Here is a 23,896-nt window from a genome sequence, read left to right as displayed (position 1 = left end):
GGCAGCCCTGTGTTGCGTGCTCATCAGGAGGCTTGTGGAGTAAGTGGGGACAGAAGGGTCCCCTTGGAGAGCCATCTATGAAGTGAAGTTGCTGCGAGGCCTCTGGGAGCCCCAGGCTGGAGGCAGAGCCCTGGGTTTGAGTCTGGGTTTGTCCCTCCCTTGGCTGCATGACTGGACAGGTCAGAAGCATCTCCGGACATTGGGGATGGGACCCTATCTTTGGGGCTGCCTGGAGCTCATGCTCTCTCCTCTCCTGGGGGCCGAAGCCTCCCACTCTTAACTGTGTTTGTAGCACCTCGGGGGAGGGAGGTGGAGTGAGGAGCTGAGCTATCCCCAAGGGTCCCCTTCCTTCCCCCACAGCCAGGGTCCCGCACCCAGCTGGAGAAGCCCCTGAAGTTAAATAGCAAGAGACAAGCACTGTGTATGGGAGCAGGGGGGTGGCAGGTGGAGGTGGCCAGAGAGGACGAGGGGACATAGGCCCCATTGAGTTCAGAGGTCAAGTTGGATGAACCATGGGCTCCCGAGCTCCTGCTTTACCACCCTGCCCCAGCCACCATATACCCCTGATGGCAGCAGGGGCCCCGAACTGCACCTGACCAGGTTCAAATCCCAGCTCTATGCCCTTCTCGCCTGGGTGAGAGGTTGACCCGTTTCTTAGTCTCCTCATTTGGCAAAAAGGAGGCATACTAGAGCCTCCTCATGGGGCTGTAGGGAGGGCTAAAAGCTGAACTACCCCCGAGCGCTCAGGGCAGGCAGTGTAGGCAGAGAGAGAGCAGGCACCAGTCCCTGTCCCCAGCAGCATCTCTCTGAAAATCAGATGGCTGGGGTCAGCCGCTCCGGGCTTCAGTTCTGGCATGGATCAAATGGGGCAGCAAGACCCACCTTGCAGGGCTGTGGTGGGGACGTAGGCATCCGTGGGTGTGACCAGTTTCAGAGTCATGAACGACAGGGCACGTGTGGGTGTGCCTGAGGACCCAGGAGGGGGTGCTCAAACTCGAGGTCCTGGGCTCCACTTGCTGTCACCCGAGGCTGGGCTTCTCCTCACCGTGCAACCTTAAGTGGGTTCCTTGGCCTCCCTGAGGCACAGCTTCCCCATTGCAGAATGAGGGTGCAGCCTCAGTGACTGCCAGGCGCTCCCTCAGCTCTGTGCCCCTCTGGCACCCCCACACCATCCTCCCGTGGACTCTGCCCTCTCCGAGCATCGCTGCACCTCTGAGCTCCAGGCGGCGGGAAGCAGACTCCAGATGGCGCTTTCTCCTCCTGCCCGGCTGCCTCTAGGCTGGGCCTGTGGTTTACCCCTAACCTTCCTTTGACCTTGCACCCCTTTGTCCCTCAGCACCTTCCTCACACACTGGGGCTCTCTGCAGTTCCTGTCCTGGGCATGGGGTCATCCTGAGGCTGGGCCCGACCTGGGGTGACACCCACACAAAACATTGATGGTCCCCTTGCCCCAGGGCCAGGTTGGCATGATTGAGCGTGAAGGGGCATAGGGGCTATGGGAGTCCCCTGGTTGGGCTATGCACTCTTTGGGGTCCCAACCCTGTGCCCTCTGCTATTGGGGGATCCCAAGAAAGAGGTGAGCAGCCCCCACCCTGGGGAGCTCACCCTCCTGTGGAGACGGTAGGCCAGGCAAAGGCGAGCCCATGGTACCCCGAATAAGCACCTGCCAGTCTGTCTGTGAGCTGCTGGGTCCTGACTCCCAGGACAGAGAGGGTGGCAGCCTTACCTCTGGGACCAGTGTCTGGCAGGGTGGGACAGCATGAGAGAGTGAGCCTGGAGCCCTAGCTCCACCTCTTACTGTGTTTATGACCCTGGGCAAGTTAGGGGCTTGGAGCCTTAGTTTCCTCATCTGTAGAATGGGATAATAAAGCCATTGGGCAGCTTAGACGAGCTGGCATATGTGAGGCACTTGGCCCCAGGCCTAGCATAGAGTATGTGCTCAGTACACAGAACGAGTATTATTAGTTCACCAGTGCATATTTACTGTCGTGTGAGCTGTCGTGGTGGGAAGATGCGTCTGGGGAGTTCCAGGAGGGGAGGATCCCTGCCTGGGCACTGGGCAGTCTGCCCTGACTCAGATTCCAGAAAGGCCTCTTATCCACTGCATGACCTTAGGCAACGCACTTCACCTCTGTGTGCCTCCGTTTCCTCATTGGAAAATGGGGATAATAAGAGTATCCCCGCCAGAGGCCCTGATTGCTGCATTTAAAGAGTTTTAAATGGAGCCTGGCTTACAGTAACCTGTCAGCCGATGGTTTTGGTGTGACTAAGGGGGTGGCAGAGCGGCGTGGAGTTGGGTTCTGATCCCAGCTCTGTGCTGGGCTCCTGATGTAACCTTCAGCAAGTCTTTCCCACTTCGGGACCTCAGTGTTCTCAAATGTAGAACAAGGGACTGTGCTTGCTCAGAGAGCCTTTGCAGCTTTGACAGTGCGTGGGCCTCTGACTCTCACTCCTGTGACATCTGCCTTAGGAGATGGAACCCATGGCTCTTGGGGCCAGGGTGTGTGTCCCTGCTCCATGCTGGCTCTGATGTAAGCCACGAGACAATCCAGGGCCACCTAAAGAGCTCTGCTTTTTTTTTTTTGCCGTACTGAGGCCTCTGACCACACTCATTCATTTCACTACATTTATTGAGCACCGACTGTGTGCCCGGCCCTGTGCTCAGCAGTCCCTGGAGCGAGTGTGCTGGTGGGCCAGCCCCTGGTCAACGCCGGCCCTGCTGCTGCCAGCCTAGAGGGAGGAGCAAGGCGCTCAGAAGAGGAAGCCCTCGCCCTCCATCACGGAAATCAGGGAAGGCTTCATGGAAAAAGGCATGAGGGCCCGTTTGAAATGGGCTTGAAGGATGGCAGGATCTGTAGGGGACCCAGGGAAAGGATAGACTTGGGAAGGACCTTTGGAGGGTGAGTGTCGGTTTCCTGGTCACCTGGAGCCACTGGCTTGTGCAGGCAGGTAGGTGCGGTGTGTGTGTGCTTTGGCCTGGGTACATGCACCTGCTCCTGTGAGGGCAGGGTCTGGAAGGGTGGGCTGACCTCATTCCGGTCCCAGAAAGCCTCGAAAATGGGAATTTAGGCTTTGATTGCAACAGGGCCACTGCAGGTTCCTGGGCAGGGATGTGGGTGGTTGGAGGCGGGCTTCAGGGAAGGCAGGTGAGAGCCTGCAGATGGGGTGGTGCCGTTGTCTGGGCTGGAACGGCACGAGGCTGGCCTGGTGAGGGTGGGGAAGAGACAACAAGTAGTCACTGGAGTGTCCTGCTGTCTGAGGAGAGTCCTGACTGGCTAGGTATGGGGGCAAAGGTCACCTGGAATAGGAAGGGTACAGTTGTCCCAGAACTGAAAGTCAGACAGGAGAAGAGCTGGGGATGAGCTGGGTTTTTGCCGGGTCCAGGAGCATCCCCTGTGAGGGGGTCCTGCAGACCATCGGGAGGGACGTGGAGGCTTGGGGCTGAGCTGGAGAAAGACCCTGGGAAGCTGAGGGCTGGAGCCAGTGAGAGGCTCAAGAGAGAGAAGGGAAGGGGAGTGAGAGCTCGAGTTTGGAGCCGCTGGAGAAGGGGGAACAGCGGGGGAAATGCCCAACGCTCAGGAGCCTTGGAAGCTCTCGAGATGGAAGAGCAGGAGGGAGGGAAGGATGTTCCACCTCCTCCACATCTCTTGACTCACCTGCTCCTCTCCCCTCTCCCCCTGCCCCTCTGACTGAGGCTACCCTCATCTTTCCCTGGAAGCTCCCTCCTCATCTCCCTGCCTCCCCCTTTGCCTGCTCCAAACACCTCTCCTGGAAGCAGTCCCCTTATCTTCCCGAAGTGACCATGTGCTCACTTTCTCATTCCCCTCCGCACACCCAGCCCCTGCAGAGGGTGGGGGCAGCTACTTTTCTTTCCCATTTCCGCTGCGACAGTTGTGGTCTTGCCTCACGGGAGCTTCCACGGTTGGCTAGAGGTTCCCTGAGAAGCAAGTCTTTGTCTCAAAAAAAAAAAGTAAATAAATAAAGCACTGGCCAGTGGCCAGTGCATAATAGGCACTCCGGGAAAACTTTTGAGCCTCCCTCTGACAGGGCTGGCTTAGAGATTTCATGTCTCTTTCCTCCCTGGGGTATAATCTGGGTGACCAACCTGGCCCTGCCTCCAGGGAGCTTCCAGGCAGGTAGGGGAGTACGAGTGTGGACAAGGTCCTCCGTAAAGGCTACTGCAGCCCTCTGTGCCTCAGTTTCCCCTGTCCTCTAGGGCTCTTCAGTGTTTGGGTCAGAGCTCCTATCTGCTTTTCTGCTTTTCCGAGTTCGCGTCCTGATGCCTTCACACCATTGCCTCAGCTCCCTCGAGGGACAGTGAGGGGCAGAGGCAGGGGCTAGCCTCAGAGCCCTCTGGAAGCCCCTCTACCTGCTGACTTTAGCTCTGTCTATATTTATTCCATCACTTGTTTGTTCAAGAATTTTTTTTGGCCAGATGCCTACTATGTGCCAGGCACTGTTCTAGGAATTGTGGACCTAGCAATGAACAAAACACAAAAATACCTGTCCTTAGTGAGCTTACGTGACTCTGTGTGTGTTTGTGAAGAGAGATAGAGGAAAACATGAATCAGTCAATAAACGATGAATAAATAATGCTATGATGAAAATGTAGGGGGGTGGTGAGTAACAAAGGGTGCTTCTTTTATTTTTTTCTTTGAGACAGAGTCTTACTCTGTCGTCCAGGCTGGAGTGCAGTGGTGCCATCTCGGTTCACTGCAAACTCCGCCTCCAGGTTCAAGCAATTCTCCTGTCTTAGACTCCCGAGTAGCTGGGACTACAGGCACCCACCACCTTGCCCGGCTAATTTTTGTATTTTTAGTAGAGACAGGGTTTCACCATGTTGGTCAGGCTGGTCTCAAACTCTTGACCTCAGGTGATTCGTCTGCCTCGACCTCCCAAAGTGCTGGGATTACAGGCATGAGCCACACGCCTGGCCACGACGGGTGCTTCTTTATGTAGTCTAGTCAAAGAAGACCTCTCAAAGGAGGCTGCAGTTGAGCAGAAACTTGAAGGAAGGGTGTGAGCATGTGTAGGGTGGTGGGATTAGCAGGTGCAAAGGCCCTGGGGCTGGACTGAGCTGGCACCGAGGAGTGCAGACCATGCACACTGAGGGGGCGGGCCCAGCCTGCCTCTAGGGGCAGCGAGGCCTGGGATGTGTATTTACGTGTGCTCTCTCTTTCTCCTCTCCCACCAGGGCTTCCTTCCTCGGCTCCACCCTGTGGATGTAATGGCGGCCCCTGCTCTGTCCTGGCGTCTGCCCCTCCTCATCCTCCTCCTGCCCCTGGCTACCTCTTGGGCATCTGCAGCGGTGAATGGTGAGGACCCTGACATCTGAACAGCTCTGCTTTCCCTATGGAGAGATGGCTAAGGCCCTGCTAAAGCCTCTTCCCAGAAGGGGATGGGGCCAGAGACCAGGTGTCCACCTCCTGCCTCACCCTCTGTCCTGGACCCCTGCCCTGGCATGCATGCATGAATGCGCGCACACACACACACACACACACACACACACACACACGCCTCTCCAAGCCACAGGCTTGTGCTACTTTCTGTCCCTGCCTTGCCTTAGTTTGCCTGTAGGAACTTGCAGGCTCTGGAGCTCCATTTCCTCCTCTCTGAAGTGGGTCCATGAATCCCTTCTCCGCTTGCCAGAGTTACCCACCTCCTCCTCTGGCAGGTGTGGGTGCCAGGTGCAGGGGCAGTGGGCGTGTCTTGGGGGGGCTGTGGGCACCTACAGTCAGCACTCACACCTCATCTTGCCCGGCAGGCACTTCCCAGTTCACATGCTTCTACAACTCGAGAGCCAACATCTCCTGTGTCTGGAGCCAAGATGGGGCTCTGCAGGACACTTCCTGCCAAGTCCATGCCTGGCCGGACAGACGGTGAGTCCACTGGCCACACTGCAGAATCTTAGGATGGTGGGATCTCATATTCTGGATCCTATGCACTGGACTCCAAGGAGTCAACGTTTACAGAATCTTGGACTAATGGGACCCACAGACTTTTTGAATCACAGGAGTTGGGGCCCAGGCCTGGAATCAAGGGATCGTTTAAGAGAATTTGGGAGTCAGCTATTTAGACTTCTAGAACCTGGGTGGAGTCCAGGCTGCAGTGGAGGGGCTGGGGATGAACTGGACAGGGTAGTTTGGGGACACTGAGCTGCAAGCCTGCTATGCCAAGGCTGGACTCCACTCTAGAGGCAAGCAGAGAGGAAGTGGGGAGAAAGGAGGGTCCCCAAGCTTTTTGGATAAGCTCGGATTTTGAGAGACCCTGTAGGCAGCTGTGGGGACAGGGAACCTGGGAGTGGTTTGGGTGCCTGGTGGATGGGAGAGAGATGTCACTGTGATGTAAACATCCAGGCGGCCAGTGAGTGAGGGACTGACCCCAGGTAGGCTTGATGGGGTCAGGGAGAAGAGGAAGACCACAGAGAGGTGGCTGGGCCCAGGTGGATTCCATAGGGTGTGGGGTGGGGGAAAATGGGGAGGGAGATGGAGGGGTAAGGCAGGTTCGGGCCCTGGCTTCTGGGTGGGTGGTGATTCCACACGGCTCTGAAGGCCTAATTAAGGATCTATCTTCATCCTAAGCCTCATGGAGCTTTGGAGGGCTCTAGGTGGGGAGGACTGCCTGTCTTGAAGTGGTTTGTGTTTCTAGATCACTCCAGCTGCCGTGGGACCAGGCTGGGATGAGGGAGCAGGACAAGGTGCCCATGAGGGAGGAATGCCATGGAGCCAGTGGGGGAGGCAGTGCCCCTCACAGTGGTTGGCACAGGGGCCCCAGCCTGGCCTTGCTGCCTGGTGCCATCCTGGCAGCAGAGAGATCTGAGAAGAGTCCCTTGGGCCAGCTGTGTGGGTCCTTCCTGTTCTTCTAAAGAGGGTCTTTTGCCATGAAAGGCGGTGGAACCAAACCTGTGAGCTGCTCCCCGTGAGTCAAGCATCCTGGGCCTGCAACCTGATCCTCGGAGCCCCAGATGTGAGTAGCCCACCCAGGGAGAGAGTGCAGGGAGAGGGTGGTCTCCCAGCTCCGGGCTGCGATCTCAGGGTGGGCCGGATGCCAGGGGAAGAGCTGAGGCCCAATGGCTGGGGCTGTGGCTAAGCAGGATGCCCAGCGCTGAGCAAGAGGCAGAGAAAAACAGGTGACACCCCAGGGAGTGGACTCAGGCCTGCCCCAGGGCCGACGGACCCTCTGTATGTGAGGCATCTGCCATTCTGCCTCTGCTCCTGCTGTCTCCCCTGCGCTTTGTGGGTCCTGTGACACTTGTGTTCCTTATCAAGTAAGACAGCACTCCAGTAACTGTAATGACCACACCCAGCTCTTCCCGGGGGCTTGGCAGTGCAGTGCAGTGTGGGGGGTGAAGGGTGTAGACTCTGGAGCTGGATGCTCCAGCCCTGGCTCACCAGCTGGGTGACATTGGGCAACCCCTGTGCCCCAGTCTCCCCTTCTGTAAAATGGGCATAATAATGGCACCTACCTTGTTGGGTCAAGGCCCAACAAGGGCCTTGTTTTTCAGGCCCTCCCCAGCCTGAAGGTGGGACCTCACCAGGGACCCGCCTCCTTCTGCCCAGGCTGCTCGGGCCAAGGGGCACCTGCAGGCCAGTGCCAAGCTGTCCCCTGCACCCCCGTGGCTTCCCATCCCCCTGTGCTCATTGGTGCCTAAAGTCCAGAGGGGGCCGAGGCAGCTGGGGCCAGTGAGTCAGTGCTGCCTCGAGCGTGCCAGGCTGTGGTAGTGCCTGGGCTTGGTCCCGCTCTGAGATTGGAGTGGGCACTGGAGCAGGAGGAGGCCAGACAGTGGGAGCAGACACCCCTGAGCTTGTGGGGGCAGTAGAGATGCCTGGGTCCTGGCTTGGGCAGCTGCAGCTGCCCCAGGAGAGCTCCTGGCTACCTCGGAAGGGGCAGGGGTCCCGCTTGTCCCCGACTCACACTGGATCCACAGAGTGCGTAGCCCCGACTGTGCCTCCAGGATCAGATCGGGTGCCAGAAGCAGGGGAGAGGCCAAGCAGTGGGAACAGACAGCTCTGAGCCTGCGGAGGCAAGGGGGGATCTTCCCAGACCCTGAGAGTGCAGGGATGCCTGGGTCCACAGCCACAACTTGGGTAGCTGCAGCTGTGCCCGGGAGGGTGGGTCTCCTGCGTGCTCCCTGCTTGCAAGATCACCTGGAGGCTTGGGTTTGGACCAGGGCCCCTGAGAGTGCAGGGACACCTGGCTCTGTGGCCACGACTTGGGTGGCTGCAGCTGCGCCCAGGAGAGCGGGGCTCTTGCCTGATCCCAGCCCCCAACAGCACCAGGAGGCCTGGGTCCACAGCCAAGACTTAGGCAGCTGCAGCCCTGCCTGGGAGGGCAGGGCTCCTACCTGCTCCGTGGAGCAGGAGACCCCAGCTACGCCTCCCGGCTGCAGCCAGAGTTTTAGCAGCGGCCACTCCGGATGGGCAGCTGCGGCCTTCACCTACAGCCCCATGGGTCAACATCAGCACTGTCCCCTTCTTACCAATGAAGACACTGAGGCTCAGAGAGGTATGGTCTCTGCCCAAGGTCACACAGCCAGGAAGTACACAGCTGGGATTGAACCCAGGCCTGCGGGCTCCCAGTTCAGGCTTCTCACCGTTGCATTAGGCTGCCTCTTGCAGGGCATATGGCCATGTCCATATGAGTGTACATCAAATTATTGTCTGTCAAAGCCTCCTGGGCGGCAGCGGGCTCCAAGGACACCCGGACCACATCTTCCATCAGGTTATATGTCTTCTTGAGGGGCAGGAGAGTGTGAAGATGGAGTCACACAGTGTAGCTGATAAAATCACAGCCTCTGGAACCGGATGCTGTTCCCCTTGCAGGGAGCTCTGTAGGTGGCCTGGTTTCTGATCCTGGCTCCACCATTTCTTAGCTGTGTGACCTCAGGCAAGTCCCTAAGGCTCTCTGTGCTTCAGTCTCCTCAGCTGTAGAATGGAAATAGTGACAGTGCCTGTGCCCAAGTTGAGAGAATTAAATGAGACAATATATGTAAAGTGCTCTCAAGAGTGCCCGGCACAGTGTGAGTGATCACGCGAATGTATGATTGGCAATATTTTTATAACAATAATAGTAATAATAATAATAATAATAATAATAATAATAATAATAATAATGAGACTACTATCATCGGGGAAAATCTAGCCCCCATAGCAGCTATAAGAAGGCTAGGACAGGGTCTATAGGGTGGAGAGGAACTGGCCAGTTTGGGGAATTCCAACGATCAGGTTTAAGGTTTGCCCATAGTGGGTCTTATGCAGACCAGAGGGACGGTGCCCAAGGTCCCGGCCCTGAAATCAGCATCCTGGACCCCAGATCCTAAGAGGCCTGCACTAGAGCTTCCTCCCGCAGGGCTGCCGGGCTGTAGGGTTGGCAGCTGCACAGTGGCAGGATGCCTTAAGCTGCTCACTCGGCAGCCCTCTGTCAGGCATGACAAGCCAGGACTCGGAGATGCAGTCACCCTGTAGGGGGACACAGAGGGCCTGGGTTTAAACTTGGGCTCCCCTGCTGTTCATCTGCATGACCTGGCGCAGGTCCCTTGACCAGCCCAAGCCTCAGGCTTCCCACCCATACCATGGGATGGATGCTGTGTGCATTGAGGGGCTAAGGCATCTGAGCAGTGACTGCTCATAGGAAAATGCTCAATACCTGGCCATTTTCTTCCAGAAAATTCAAGGCGTAGGGATGGGGAGAGATAGGGGAGGGGAGGGCCTTTCACACTAAAAAATGTTAAACAGGTATAGTTCCAGAACTGTACCTTTGTGGGGGCTTACCAGCTTGCATGCCTCCTGTAACAGGGAGCTCACTCCCTCTCAAGGTAGCTCACTTCATTTTAGATCAAGTGTTGGTAAACTACCTTGACCCATAGGCCATATCCAGCCCACTGCCTGTGTTTCTAAATAAAGTTTTACTGGAACATGGCCCTAATATTCATTTACATGTTGCCTACGTCTGCTTCATACTACAGTGGCGGAGTTGAGTCATCGTGACAGAGACCATGTGGCCCCATAAAGCCAAAAATAGTTACTATGTGGCCTTTTACAGAAAACATTTGCTGCCCCTGCCTTGGGTGGCGGGGCATGTGGAGAGGCTGCCATCCTTCCCAGGTCATCCCGGTGGCCTCCCCCTTCCCCTGCCTGAAGCTGCTAGAAGTTTCACCCCTGCCCTCCTTCCCTTGCAGTCTCAGAAACTGACCACAGTTGACATCGTCACCCTGAGGGTGCTGTGCCGTGAGGGGGTGCGATGGAGGGTGATGGCCATCCAGGACTTCAAGCCCTTTGAGAACCGTGAGTGAGGAAGCCAGGGTGGGGCTGGGGCAGGGCTGGGCACCTCCTTCCTTCCACCTCCTCTGGGATCTTCCCTGCTCCAGCCTTTCTCCCCGGCAGCTTCCACACCCACATCTGATCACCTCACCGCCCGCTGTTCTCGGGATGACGTCCTGGCTCCTTCCTCTGGCATTCAAGGCCGCTCAGGATCCAGCCCTGGGCCTCCTCCCCGGCACTCCTCCTCTTGAGGCCTATATTTCTGCTACAGCCAAAGGCCAACTCTCCAAACCCACCTTGCCTATCCCTGCCTCTGAGCCCTTGCACATGCCGATCCCACTGCCTGGAAGGCCCTTTACACCTGGAAAATTCCCACTCACGTTTCGAGGCTTAGTTGAAAGTCACTTCCTCCAGGAGGCCTTCCTAGACTCCCCTAGCCCTTTGTACCTCCTCTTTCTGGGAATGTATGTCCTGGGTTGTTACTGCCTGATTGTAGGTCTGTCTCTTTCACTGGGCTGTGAGCACCCTGAAGGCAGAGTCTCTGCCACCCCTGTGTCTCCTTGCCACGCACCCAGCACTAGGTCTCATCAGGACAGTGGTCTGGGAAGGTTTGTTGAATGCCTGAGCGACTGCCTGCTGACCTTGGGGGCCATCTCCAGGGAAGCAGTGGGGTGGAAAGTGAGAGTCAGGCCTGAACTGGATGTGATCTGACTGGCAGACCATCGAAACTTTCTGAGCCTGAGTTTTGGGGAGAATCGGAGTCACCTACCTACCAGGCTTGTAAGGCATCTTTGAACTGAGACATAGAAACTGCTTACCATGTAGTCAGCACTCAGCATCTGCTTATCACTTATGTGGTTCTATAGAGTCTTAGAAGTATAGAAACTGAGATTCATTTAACTTCAGAATCACAGTGTTATAATCATCACACTTAAAATAAATGAGATGATCCATGGAAAGCTCTCAGGTCAATTGTAAGTGCAGAGAAAAGCTGCCGTGAGTCATTCATCCAGCAGCTACTGAATCAAGTGCCAGGTAATCTTCCAGGTGCCAAGGACACAGCAGACAACCAAGTCCCTGCCCTCAAGGAGCTCACAGTCTGCTGGGGGAGACAGAAAATGAGTAAAGAAACCAAACCATATATTTCGTAGGTCAGGTGATGATAAGCACTGGGAATAAAAGTGAAACAGGCAAGGGGGATGCAGAGTGGTGAGTGGTCAGGGAAGGCTTCTCTCAAGAGGTGATCATTGAGAGAGGCCTGGAGGCAGTGAGGGAGCGGGTCCTGGGGCTTTGGGTCGGGGGGTAGGGGAGGTGGTAGCATGTGCCAGGAGGGAGGAGTGGCAGGTACAAAGTGGGAGGTGGAGGTCATGGCTGACTGCTCTCCCCTACCCCCTGTTGTCTCCAGTTCGCCTGATGGCCCCCATCTCCCTCCAAGTTGTCCACGTGGAGACCCACAGATGCAACATAAGCTGGGAAATCTCCCAAGCCTCCCACTACTTTGAAAGACACCTGGAGTTCGAGGCCCGGACGCTGTCCCCAGGCCACACCTGGGAGGTGAGAATGTGGCCCAGTCCGTACCTGCCTTGGTTCCTCCTTCCTGTCCTGGTCCATGTCCTGTCCCTTTTTCATTGTGTCGAGGTCCCCTCAGCCCCAGGTGGATGGTGGGTGGCTGAGTCCAGTGCTCTTTCTGCACTGCCTGGGGCTGCCTCCCCGACTTCCACGTCCTTATCTAGCCCCCTTAATCCTGGGGATCCAGCTGGCAGCAGGTTCCAGGCTGACACCAGGGAAAGATTCAGAAAGCCAGGAGATAGGCAGCTGCCCAGCCCCATGGGCTTTCAGAGGCCAGGGAAGCCAACCCTCCACGTGTCAAAGCCCATCTGCTCCACATCCGTGCGGGCCTGTTGCTTATTCATTCACTTACACTCATTTCTTCATTCACTCAACTGCTCACTCAATAAATATTTGCTGAGCACCTACTATGCGCTGAATGATGGGGAGAGAGCGGAGGGTGAGCTCAGCAAACTTCCACTCTCAGGAATCTCAGACTGGGGCAGGGCAGGCAGGCAGTCAGTCAGCAGATGTAGCGACAGGGTCTGGGATAGTGAGGCACCCGGATAGTGATAAGTTCCATCAAGAAAACCCAACGGGGCAAGGAATTTGACAGTGACTGGCACAGGCTACTTCAGACTCAGGTGACCAGGGAAGGCCCCTTGGACACCTGGGTGTCCAGAAGGAGCTGACCTGCAAAGATCTGGGGAGAAGTTTTGCAAAATTAGAAAGACCTGCCACGGCAAAGGCAGGATGCTGCTATGTGTCTGGGGAGCAGGAGGAGGCAAAAAGAGTGACCCAGGGTGGGAGAGGTGTGCGGAGACGTCCCACTTTCTGGTCCTGTGGAGACTAGACTGCAGCGGGGCACGGGTGGGAACCAGAGACCAGCTGCAGGCTTGGGAGAGGGCGGCAGCTCAGGCCTGGGGTGAGTGCGGCGGGGAGAGAGGGGGATGGTTCTGGAATGGCTATGGAGGTGGAACCAGGTTCTGGAGGTGGAACCAGCTGATTAGCTGATGACTTGGGCTTTAGGGGATGACCCTGGGGTTTGAGGCCCCAGCAACTGGGTAGTGAGGGAGCTTTGGGTGGCAAGGAAGTGGGGGTGCAGCTGGCAGGGGTTGGGGGGGGGTTCTGTGATGCTCAGCCTCCTGGCCCTGCCATGGGAGGTGAGGTGGGCGCTGACAGTCCTGTCTCCGACCCAGGAGGCCCCCCTGCTGACTCTCAAGCAGAAGCAGGAATGGATCTGCCTGGAGACGCTCACCCCAGACACCCAGTATGAGTTTCAGGTGCGGGTCAAGCCTCTGCAAGGCGAGTTCACGACCTGGAGCCCCTGGAGCCAGCCCCTGGCCTTCAGGACAAAGCCTGCAGGTACTGGTGGGCGGCAAGGGTGAGAGGGGGCTCAGGCAGGAGGGGGCGGCTGGAGGAGGAGCTGCTCCATTCTCTCCCTGCCTGGGGTGAGGGTATAGCAGTCAGCTCCATCCCTCACTTGCTGTAACCCTGCAGGGGGCTCGCTTTTCAGACAGGAACAGGGGTTCAGTGAGGGGACGGGGCTTGCCATGGGCCTTGTGAGTTGGGGAGGGGTCGAAAGGCTGTTTTCACTCTTCTCCACCCTGAAATCTCCAACTCCTGGTTTCTTCTGGGGCTGGGGGTGGCTGCTTTCACCTCTCGGCCTGATCTGTGAAATGGGTACAGTGACCGTGAGGCAGAGCTGCTGTGAGGAAGGCGTGTGATGTCCCGGCAGCCTGGCCCTCAGCAGGTCTGCTGGGCGCCTGTCCCTCATCGCACCACATTTCGAGTTCAAGCCCAAGCAAGACCTGGGGTCCTCTAAGTGGTGCTTGGAGGGAGGTGGAGAGAGGGGTGCAGCCAGCTGGAGCCCAGGCTGCTGTGGGGGTGGTGGGGGGCTGTAGGCTCACCAGGGGGGCCCATGGGATCTGTCTGGAGCTGGAGGAGCTCTTAGAATGCCACCGTGTCATTTCTTTTTAGCATGAAATCTGGCTTCCCAGAGGATGGGCTTAGCAGAACCCTGTCCCCAGCCCCCCAGACGCAGGCCTGCGTGGCAGGGCCCTGGATGGGGGTGTTGGGGTGACCGACCCAGGGTGAGTGAGGGCACTTCTCTAACCCCTCTCCTTGCTGTTTCTCCCACCCCTGGGCAGCCCTTGGGAAGGACACCATTCCGTGGCTCGGCCACCTCCTCGTGGGCCTCAGCGGGGCTTTTGGCTTCATCATCTTAGTGTACTTGCTGATCAACTGCAGGAACACCGGGCCATGGTAAGAAGGTTCTCCTCCCCTTCCTTCATGCTCCCACCCCTCCAACGTGCACACACATGCACACACATGCACACACACGCACACAAGCACACATACACACACACACACACTTACATGAACACATGCCACCTTGCCAGGTCAGATTCTGGACCGAACCCCCTGCTCTGATACACCCGTGCTTCGTCTACCCTCCAAAGAGTCCTCCCTGTCCAAAACCTGGCCTTTCCCTGTGTCGCATCCCCACAGGGGGGCCCTGTGGAACCAACCCGAGGGGAAGGTGGGAGGTGCAGCCCTCCAGGGAGAGCCCCGGGGCCCTGTCCAGAACACTGCTCTCAGGACTGGGGATGCCCGTGTGCACATGTCAGCTGTCTCTGTGTCTGGGTCCCCGCCGGTCCATCTAGGTCTGTCATTCGCTTATTCCCATATTCACTGAGTACGAGCTGCATGCCAGGTACAGCTCAAAGAGCTGGGAACACAGTGGCAGGCCGCATGCATGCGCCCCAGCTCCAGGCAGCTCACGGCCCAGTGGGGGAAGGCAGACAATCATGCAGGTGTGTAATGACACACCGGGATCAGGATGGCAGAGGAGGATGTCGACGTATTGCCATTCCTTAGGATCCATGGAAACCAGTTCCAGGACCCTCCCTACCCCCTACAGATACCAAAGCTGGTGGATACTCAAGTCTCTGATTTTTGTTTTATTTTATTTATTTATTTTTTGTGAGATAGAGTCTCACTCTGTCACCTAGGCTGGAGTACAGTGGCGCAATCTCGACTCACTGCAACCTCCACCTCCAGGGTTCAAGCGATTCTCCTGCGTCATCCTCCCGAGTAGCTGGGACTACAGGCACACGCCACCGTGCTCTGCTAAGTTTTTGTATTTTTAGTACAGACGGGGTTTCACCATGTTGGCCAAGCTGGTTTCAAACTCCTGACCTCAGGTGATCCACTCGCCTTGGCCTCCCAAAATGCTAAGATTACAGGTGTGAGCCCCCACGCCCGGCCTCAAGTCCCTGATTTAACACAGCAGAATATTTGCGTGTAACCTACACACACCCTCCCAGAGACTTTAGGTCATCTCCTAGATTACTTATAATACCTAATACCATGTAAATGCTATGTAAATAGTTGTTATGCTGTATTTTAAAAATTTGTATTATTTTTTATTATTGTATTGCTATGAGGGTTTTTTTTTCCTGAATATTTTTGATCAGAGATTGGCTGAATCCGTGAGTGCAGAACCCACGGATCCTGAGTGCTGACTGTATCAGGAGCAGAAAACAGGGAGGGGAAACTTGGCTGGGGCGTGGCCAGGGCTGGTTTCCCTGAGGAAGGGATGATTCTGTTGAAATCTGTAGTGGGAGCCCATGGGGGGTGTGGAGGGGATGGGGAGAGTGTCCCAGGCAGAGGAAACAGCATGTGCAAAGGCCCTGGGCAGGCAGGAGGGAAGAAACTTCCAGGAACAGAGTGCAGGGGCGCTGGTGTGGCTGGAGACAGAAGTGGGTGGGGCAGGAGGCTGAACTTGAGCCTGGGCCTGTGGCGGCAGTGATGCTTCCTGGGGCCTCAGGCTGTGGTGAGGACCTGGGCCGTGTGCCGAGCAGTCATGGAGGGTTTCCCCAGAAGTGGGACAGGATCCACTTCGCCCTCTGTAGCCCTGGCTGCTGTGTGGAGCGTGGCCTGGTGGAGGGCAAAGCGGTGAGGAGGTGACACTTCTGACCGGGGGTTGTGGCCCCCTGATGAGAGCCCTGCTTCTCCCAAGAGGTTTGCAAAGCGTGCCTAGCTGTGTCACCTCACTCGACTTTCCCCAGCACTGGGAAGGCAGTGAGTCAGGGGCTACCATTGCCTTTTAACTGATGCCAGGACTGGCCAGAGAAGTCAGCTGACTTGCCCAAGGTCACATAGCCAGTTAGGAGTGACTGCCGCTCTCCTGACCCTCGTCCTGGAGCAGTGGTTCTCGGCAGTGTTCGGAGCCCCGTTTCCTCTTTCCTCCCAAGAAGACAAGCATTCCTCCACCCACCCGTCCCCTCCGCCCACAGCTCCCTGCAGGCCTTCAGGGAAACCATGTCCCTGTAGAGGGAGAGGTCCTCTCCCAGGCATGGGTTCAGTGGCCTCCAGACTGCCCTCCTCCTTGTCGTTCTTGCGCCCCTTCAGTGCTTTCTCCACCATGTCATTCTCCTGTTTAACACTCTTCAGAGGCCGCTCACTGCGCTGCAGTACACCCTGGCCCTTGAGGGCCTCCACCAGCTGTGTGGAACCTTTGGGCAAATCAAAAATGGTGCCTCTTTCTTCACGGTGATGTACACAGCTTCCAGGCACTCAGCTTAGCAAGCAGAACATGGGCTGGAATTCAGCCTCACTCACCACCACCTTTCCCACTCCCTGCCCAAGCCTAATGCCCTTGGGCAGTGTACAACCTGAACCACCATCCATGGCAGCCCTGACAAGAAAGCCCATCTCCTCTCTCCCGCCTCCTGGTTCATTCCACTTCTTCTAGCCATCTCCGTCCCTGACCACTCTGGCTTGTGTGTTCACCCCCATCGACCCCCACCTCCCCGTCTTGTGTAGCACTGTGCTCTCTGTCTCCACAGAATGAATGGTGATGTTGCAACATGCTTTGTGTCCATCTCCCCATGAGAATGTCAGCTCCTTGAGAGCAGGGACCTCCTTTGTTGGCCATTCTTGTCTCCCCAGTGCCCAACACAGCGTCCTCCCACAGTGAACACTTAGTATCGGCGGAAGAAATACATAAGTAAATGTGGTGCGGCTCCGTGCCTGGCATCCAGAGCTGTGGTGCCGATGGCATAACACCGCGGTCCTTCCCTTTCTCACCCTCCTCCTTCCCTCCTCTCCTCTGTCCAGGCTGAAGAAGGTCCTGAAGTGTAACACCCCAGACCCCTCGAAGTTCTTTTCCCAGCTGAGCTCAGAGCATGGAGGAGACGTCCAGGTAGGAGGCCGGGGCGGGGAGACAGAGGTGGGCAGGGGTGTGAGTGGGATGAGGGGGTGGCAGGTTAGTAGCTAATTTTGTGTTTTGTGAGAGGAGACAAAACGCCGAAGTGAGCAGCCTCCGGGGTGTGCATGGGTCTCTTCTCCAGCTCTGGCACTTTCCATCTGAGCCAGACTGCCTGGGTTCTAATCCCAGCTCCACCACATTCTGGCTGTGTGACCTTGGGCCTATAGAGCCTCCCTGGGCCTCAGTTTCCCCACCTGTTAGATGAGGAGAAAAACAGTGTTACTATGTGTCCTGCCCTGAGTACATTGCCTGGCACGCAGTTAGTGTTCAAAAGAACCCTATCAGGCTGGGTGCAGTGGTTCATGCCTGTAATCCCAGCACTTTGGGAGGCTGTGGCAGGTAGATCACGAGGTCAGGAGTTCGAGACCAGCCTGACCAACATGGTGAAGCCCTGTCTCTACTAAAAATACAAAAATTAGCCGGGCTGGTGGTGCATGCCTGTAATCCCAGCTACTCAGGAGGCTGAGACAGGGGAATCGCTTGAACCCAGGAGGCGGAGGTTACAGTGAGCTGAGATGGCACCACTGCACTCCAGCCTGGGCGACAGAGTGAGACTCCATCTCAAAAAAAAAAAAAAAGTACCCTATCTGGTATTACCGTTGCCGGTGTGCTGAACGAACAGGACCTGCCAGCACAAGCTCTCTCCACCCCACTGTCTGTGCAGACATGCTCTGTGCTTCTCCTGTCCCTGCTCAAAATTCCTGAGCAGGCTCCATAACTTAGCGTGGATACTAACAAGTCTTCCCGTCACTTTGAGTCACAAAACACCGATTCATTTTTAAAGTGCCGGCCCGCAGATCAGTAACGCTCTAAACTCCATCTCAGATTCCGTCGTCTCCTCTTCCCCAGCCCATGCCCCCTTCAGGCAGGAAGCTTCAAGAATGAAGGGGGGACATGGGGGGTACTTTTTACCACCCTAGCCCCACTCTAGGCTCCCAAGATTGGGGGGTGGGGATGAGGTAGGGGCAGAGGGAGGTCAAGAAGAGTGGCGGAGGAGGAAAGCCATGCCGGACCAGAGCTGTCATGACCTGGCTTTGGAGTTCTCTATCAGGGCTGATCAAGGGCCCCTTCTGGAACTCCTTGGAAAACTCCCAAGATGAGAATATCTTAGTTGCAGTGCTTTTATTTATTTATTTATTTATTTATTTTTTGAGATGGAGTCTTGCTCTGTCGTCCAGGCTAGAGTGCAATGGCACGACCTCAGCTCACTGCAAACTCTGCCTCCTGGGTTCAACCGATGCTCCTGCCTCAGTCTCCCGAGTAGCTGGGACTACAAGCACACACCACCACACTTGGCTAATTCTTGTACTTTTAATAGAGACGGGGTTTTGCCATGTTGGCCAGGCTGGTCTTGAACTCCTGATCTCAGGTGATCTGCCCGCCTCGGCCTCCCAAAGTGCTGGGATTACAGGCGTGCGCCACCGTGCCTGGCCATTAGTTGCAGTACTCTTAATGTGCGGGAATGTATTTCCTTAAAATTCTTCCCTCAGCCTTGAGGGTAGCAAGATTCCCATCTATAAAGGTATTCAAGCAAGCCATGGTTGCCTATGTGTCAGAAGCATAGAGATTCTCCCATTGAACTGGTTGGAGGCTGCGGTAGATTAGCTGCATGCTCAGATACCTTCCAGCTTCAAGTCCTGATTCTATGAACCTACAACATCGTGAGGTGGGAGCTGCAAACCATTCCAGCTTCCCATGAGGGTATGGTATCCTTGGGTCTAGTGTGTGGAGCGGGGTCCTGAGGAAGAAGGCATGATGTGGCTGGGGGTTGGGGATGGCAAAGCAGGCCCCACCTTTTCTGCATCTGGGTGAGAGACCTACCCCTCCACCCTAGGACCCACAGGGGCCACAAGGCCCACCCCCACTTCCCAGGGGATCGTGGAACGTGTGTGCGAGTGTGGGAGTATGTGTGAGGGGCGTGAGTGTCTCCTGAAGCCCCTTTCAGGGCATTGTGGGCAGAGGCTCAGGCCCAGGAAGTAGCTGGCCACAGGCAGTGGGTCCCTGGCTCACCGGCACTGGCCACAGGCCTGGCCGCTCCCTCTCTGGCTGCACACACAGGGCTGCTGTCTGGCCCCGCCCTTGCCCTGGGTATCATGAATCTCACCCGACCAGTGCTTCTTCCTCTCTGCCCAGCCAGCGACCCTCTTTGCCATCCTCAGTTTATCCTTTCTGCCTCTCTCAGCCTTTTCTTTTGTGACATAACTCCTGGTTGCAGAAAGGGGGCGGATTTAATTGAGTGGTGTGTGCACGTGTGTGCATGTGTGCATGCATGTAAGCGTGTGTGTGTGTGTCTGCGGAGCAGCTGGCTCAGCCTCAGGGACTCTCCCTGGAGAGGAGAACTGGGCATTTGTTGCTGGTTCATTAATTCATCTGAAATAGATCCATGAGACCCGCCATGCTGGGCACAGAGGCCTGGGGAGCCCATTGGGCCTGGCCCCTGTGCTTAGGGGGCCATAGTCCAGCTGCTGAGGGTTCCCAGGACAGAGGGTTGTCAGGGCTCCCAAACTCACCCACCCGAGGCCCCTGCCACACCACCAGGAGGGCCTGCTGTCCCCCACTCTGCTGTGCAGTCTGTGTCTTACCCGTTTTGGGTGTTTACATCTCCATTTGCTTACCTGATGTCTCCTTGGTGACCTGATGGGTGACAGCAAGGAAGTCAGGAGAGACGTGGCTGTTGTGGAAACTGAGGCCCAGAGAGGTGCAGGGGCCCTCCCAGGGTCACACAGTTAGTGAGTGCCAGGGCCAGGGCTAGAACCCGGGTCTTCCCACTCCTTGCCAGGGCTCTCTGGAATCCCGAGCAACTGAGAAGTGCTCTGATGGGCACTTTCCTCTCTCTGGGGATGGGAGGCGGAGGGGGTGGGGGTGGGGACTGCAGGGAACTGGGGGAAAGGTGAATCAGGAAACCATCAGCTCCCCCAAGAGACGTTCCCACCACAGTGTAAGCGGAGACCCTGGGTCCCAGCTCTGCCGCCTGCTGGTCTGTGATCAGGGCCAGGGCATGTCCCGTCTCTGGGCATCTGTAGGGTGAACAGGCTGTACTCTCAGTGCCCTTCTGCTTTGGCATGGGTGGATCGATTCCCACACTTGTGCTAGTGCCCACTAGACAGTCTGAGGATTCTCTCCTTTCCTGGGTCCCCAGCATCTAGAACAGTGCCAGGCTCATAGCAGGTGTCCAATAAACAGTCACTCTTGAGCAATCAGACATTCCTGGGCACTACTGGCAGCCAGGCAGGCCTGTGCTGGGCTGTGGGTCAGGCAGTGTCCCTGGGCTGGTGGCCCAGAGGGCCCCCAAGCCAGTGGGTGGGTTGGGGGAGTGCGGGGCTATAATCAGGGAGAGCTTCCTGGATGGGGCAGCCCTGGGCCAACTGCTTCAGGAGGAGGAGGAGTTAGGAGCTGTTGAGAGTCCAGAGGAAGGGGTGGAGGGTGAAGGAAGCCCCCACTCACCCACCCCTGGCCTTTCTCCCACCAGAAGTGGCTCTCTTCGCCCTTCCCCTCATCGTCCTTCAGCCCTGGCGGCCTGGCACCTGAGATCTCGCCACTAGAAGTGCTGGAGAGGGACAAGGTGACGCAGCTGCTCCTGCAGCAGGACAAGGTGCCTGAGCCCGCATCCTTAAGCAGCAACCACTCGCTGACCAGCTGCTTCACCAACCAGGGTTACTTCTTCTTCCACCTCCCGGATGCCTTGGAGATAGAGGCCTGCCAGGTGTACTTTACTTACGACCCCTACTCAGAGGAAGACCCTGATGAGGGTGTGGCCGGGGCACCCACAGGGTCTTCCCCCCAACCCCTGCAGCCTCTGTCAGGGGAGGACGACGCCTACTGCACCTTCCCCTCCAGGGATGACCTGCTGCTCTTCTCCCCCAGTCTCCTCGGTGGCCCCAGCCCCCCAAGCACTGCCCCTGGGGGCAGTGGGGCCGGTGAAGAGAGGATGCCCCCTTCTTTGCAAGAAAGAGTCCCCAGAGACTGGGACCCCCAGCCCCTGGGGCCTCCCACCCCAGGAGTCCCAGACCTGGTGGATTTTCAGCCACCCCCTGAGCTGGTGCTGCGAGAGGCTGGGGAGGAGGTCCCTGACGCTGGCCCCAGGGAGGGAGTCAGTTTCCCCTGGTCCAGGCCTCCTGGGCAGGGGGAGTTCAGGGCCCTTAATGCTCGCCTGCCCCTGAACACTGATGCCTACTTGTCCCTCCAAGAACTCCAGGGTCAGGACCCAACTCACTTGGTGTAGACAGATGGCCAGGGTGGGAGGCAGGCAGCTGCCTGCTCTGCGCCGAGCCTCAGAAGGACCCTGTTGAGGGTCCTCAGTCCACTGCTGAGGACACTCAGTGTCCAGTTGCAGCTGGACTTCTCCACCCGGATGGCCCCCACCCAGTCCTGCACACTTGGTCCATCCATTTCCAAACCTCCACTGCTGCTCCCGGGTCCTGCTGCCCGAGCCAGGAACTGTGTGTGTTGCAGGGGGGCAGTAACTCCCCAACTCCCTCGTTAATCACAGGATCCCACGAATTTAGGCTCAGAAGCATCGCTCCTCTCCAGCCCTGCAGCTATTCACCAATATCAGTCCTCGCGGCTCTCCAGGGCTCCCTGCCCTGACCTCTTCCCTGGGTTTTCTGCCCCAGCCTCCTCCTTCCCTCCCCTCCCCGTCCACAGGGCAGCCTGAGCGTGCTTTCCAAAACCCAAATATGGCCACGCTCCCCCTCGGTTCAAAACCTTGCACAGGTCCCACTGCCCTCAGCCCCACTTCTCAGCCTGGTACTTGTACCTCCGGTGTCGTGTGGGGACATCCCCTTCTGCAATCCTCCCTACCGTCCTCCTGAGCCACTCAGAGCTCCCTCACACCCCCTCTGTTGCACATGCTATTCCCTGGGGCTGCTGTGCGCTCCCCCTCATCTAGGTGACAAACTTCCCTGACTCTTCAAGTGCCGGTTTTGCTTCTCCTGGAGGGAAGCACTGCCTCCCTTAATCTGCCAGAAACTTCTAGCGTCAGTGCTGGAGGGAGAAGCTGTCAGGGACCCAGGGCGCCTGGAGAAAGAGGCCCTGTTACTATTCCTTTGGGATCTCTGAGGCCTCAGAGTGCTTGGCTGCTGTATCTTTAATGCTGGGGCCCAAGTAAGGGCACAGATCCCCCCACAAAGTGGATGCCTGCTGCATCTTCCCACAGTGGCTTCACAGACCCACAAGAGAAGCTGATGGGGAGTAAACCCTGGAGTCCGAGGCCCAGGCAGCAGCCCCGCCTAGTGGTGGGCCCTGATGCTGCCAGGCCTGGGACCTCCCACTGCCCCCTCCACTGGAGGGGTCTCCTCTGCAGCTCAGGGACTGGCACACTGGCCTCCAGAAGGGCAGCTCCACAGGGCAGGGCCTCATTATTTTTCACTGCCCCAGACACAGTGCCCAACACCCCGTCGTATACCCTGGATGAACGAATTAATTACCTGGCACCACCTCGTCTGGGCTCCCTGCGCCTGACATTCACACAGAGAGGCAGAGTCCCGTGCCCATTAGGTCTGGCATGCCCCCTCCTGCAAGGGGCTCAACCCCCTACCCCGACCCCTCCACGTATCTTTCCTAGGCAGATCACGTTGCAATGGCTCAAACAACATTCCACCCCAGCAGGACAGTGACCCCAGTCCCAGCTAACTCTGACCTGGGAGCCCTCAGGCACCTGCACTTACAGGCCTTGCTCACAGCTGATTGGGCACCTGACCACACGCCCCCACAGGCTCTGACCAGCAGCCTATGAGGGGGTTTGGCACCAAGCTCTGTCCAATCAGGTAGGCTGGGCCTGAACTAGCCAATCAGATCAACTCTGTCTTGGGCGTTTGAACTCAGGGAGGGAGGCCCTTGGGAGCAGGTGCTTGTGGACAAGGCTCCACAAGCGTTGAGCCTTGGAAAGGTAGACAAGCGTTGAGCCACTAAGCAGAGGACCTTGGGTTCCCAATACAAAAATACCTACTGCTGAGAGGGCTGCTGACCATTTGGTCAGGATTCCTGTTGCCTTTATATCCAAAATAAACTCCCCTTTCTTGAGGTTGTCTGAGTCTTGGGTCTATGCCTTGAAAAAAGCTGAATTATTGGACAGTCTCACCTCCTGCCATAGGGTCCTGAATGTTTCAGACCACAAGGGGCTCCACACCTTTGCTGTGTGTTCTGGGGCAACCTACTAATCCTCTCTGCAAGTCGGTCTCCTTATCCCCCCAAATGGAAATTGTATTTGCCTTCTCCACTTTGGGAGGCTCCCACTTCTTGGGAGGGTTACATTTTTTAAGTCTTAATCATTTGTGACATATGTATCTATACATCCGTATCTTTTAATGATCCGTGTGTACCATCTTTGTGATTATTTCCTTAATATTTTTTCTTTAAGTCAGTTCATTTTCGTTGAAATACATTTATTTAAAGAAAAATCTTTGTTACTCTGTAAATGAAAAAACCCATTTTCGCTATAAATAAAAGGTAACTGTACAAAATAAGTACAATGCAACAAAATAGTGTTGATATTCATTGCCTGCGGTAAACCTGTTGTCTCTTAAAGGGGAAATGAGAAGCTGCTGGGGAGCTGTCGAAGACATCCCAGGGCCAAATGCAAACTTCCTCCTTGAGAGAAAGGAAAAGGATTGTAAAGGGAATATCTTTTTCACTAATAGGAGTCAGGACTGTCTGTCTTATTCTGTGTCCAGGTATCAGCTCATGGCCATATCCCACAAGTCTATGCCTGGGGAAATATTGCACTTGATGACGAATCTCTCTCTCTCTCCTCTCTCTCTCTCTCTCTCTCTCTCTCTCTCTCTCTCTCTCTCTCTCTCTCTCCCCCCCCCTCTAT

General features: G+C 56.5%; 1 protein-coding gene across 3 annotated transcripts in view, besides 2 other annotated features; it reads left to right on the top strand.

The window, feature by feature from the left end:
* The window catches only part of IL2RB (interleukin 2 receptor subunit beta), a 49,281-nt gene extending 25,719 nt beyond the window's left edge, over positions 1–23,562 (top strand). For 2 of the 3 annotated variants that reach the window (NM_001346223.2, NM_000878.5), the window contains exons 2-10: positions 5,195–5,315; positions 5,765–5,879; positions 6,888–6,966; positions 10,178–10,283; positions 11,665–11,813; positions 13,007–13,172; positions 13,958–14,072; positions 16,932–17,016; positions 20,552–23,557. In NM_001346223.2, coding sequence (NP_001333152.1) covers positions 5,228–5,315; positions 5,765–5,879; positions 6,888–6,966; positions 10,178–10,283; positions 11,665–11,813; positions 13,007–13,172; positions 13,958–14,072; positions 16,932–17,016; positions 20,552–21,304 — 1,656 coding nt within the window. In that variant the 5' untranslated portion in view covers positions 5,195–5,227 and the 3' untranslated portion in view covers positions 21,305–23,557. Of the gene's footprint in view, positions 1–5,194; positions 5,316–5,764; positions 5,880–6,887; positions 6,967–10,177; positions 10,284–11,664; positions 11,814–13,006; positions 13,173–13,957; positions 14,073–16,931; positions 17,017–20,551 lie in introns of all 3 variants that reach the window. The other variant, NM_001346222.1, reaches the window with a different exon arrangement.
* Positions 1,148–1,197: an enhancer, noted in NCBI's record as "active region_18944". NCBI's record gives its function as "activates an Ori minimal core promoter by ATAC-STARR-seq in GM12878 lymphoblastoid cells {active_cell/tissue: GM12878}" and the evidence as "EXISTENCE:reporter gene assay evidence [ECO:0000049][PMID:35858748]".
* Positions 22,203–22,252: an enhancer, noted in NCBI's record as "active region_18943". NCBI's record gives its function as "activates an Ori minimal core promoter by ATAC-STARR-seq in GM12878 lymphoblastoid cells {active_cell/tissue: GM12878}" and the evidence as "EXISTENCE:reporter gene assay evidence [ECO:0000049][PMID:35858748]".
* Positions 23,563–23,896: the final 334 nt, after the last annotated feature.

This window comes from Homo sapiens, chromosome 22 (genome assembly GCF_000001405.40).
Source record: "Homo sapiens chromosome 22, GRCh38.p14 Primary Assembly".
Taxonomy (NCBI): Eukaryota; Metazoa; Chordata; class Mammalia; order Primates; family Hominidae; genus Homo; species Homo sapiens.
Note: the sequence above shows the minus strand (reverse complement) of the source record. Positions and strands in the feature narration are given on the sequence as shown.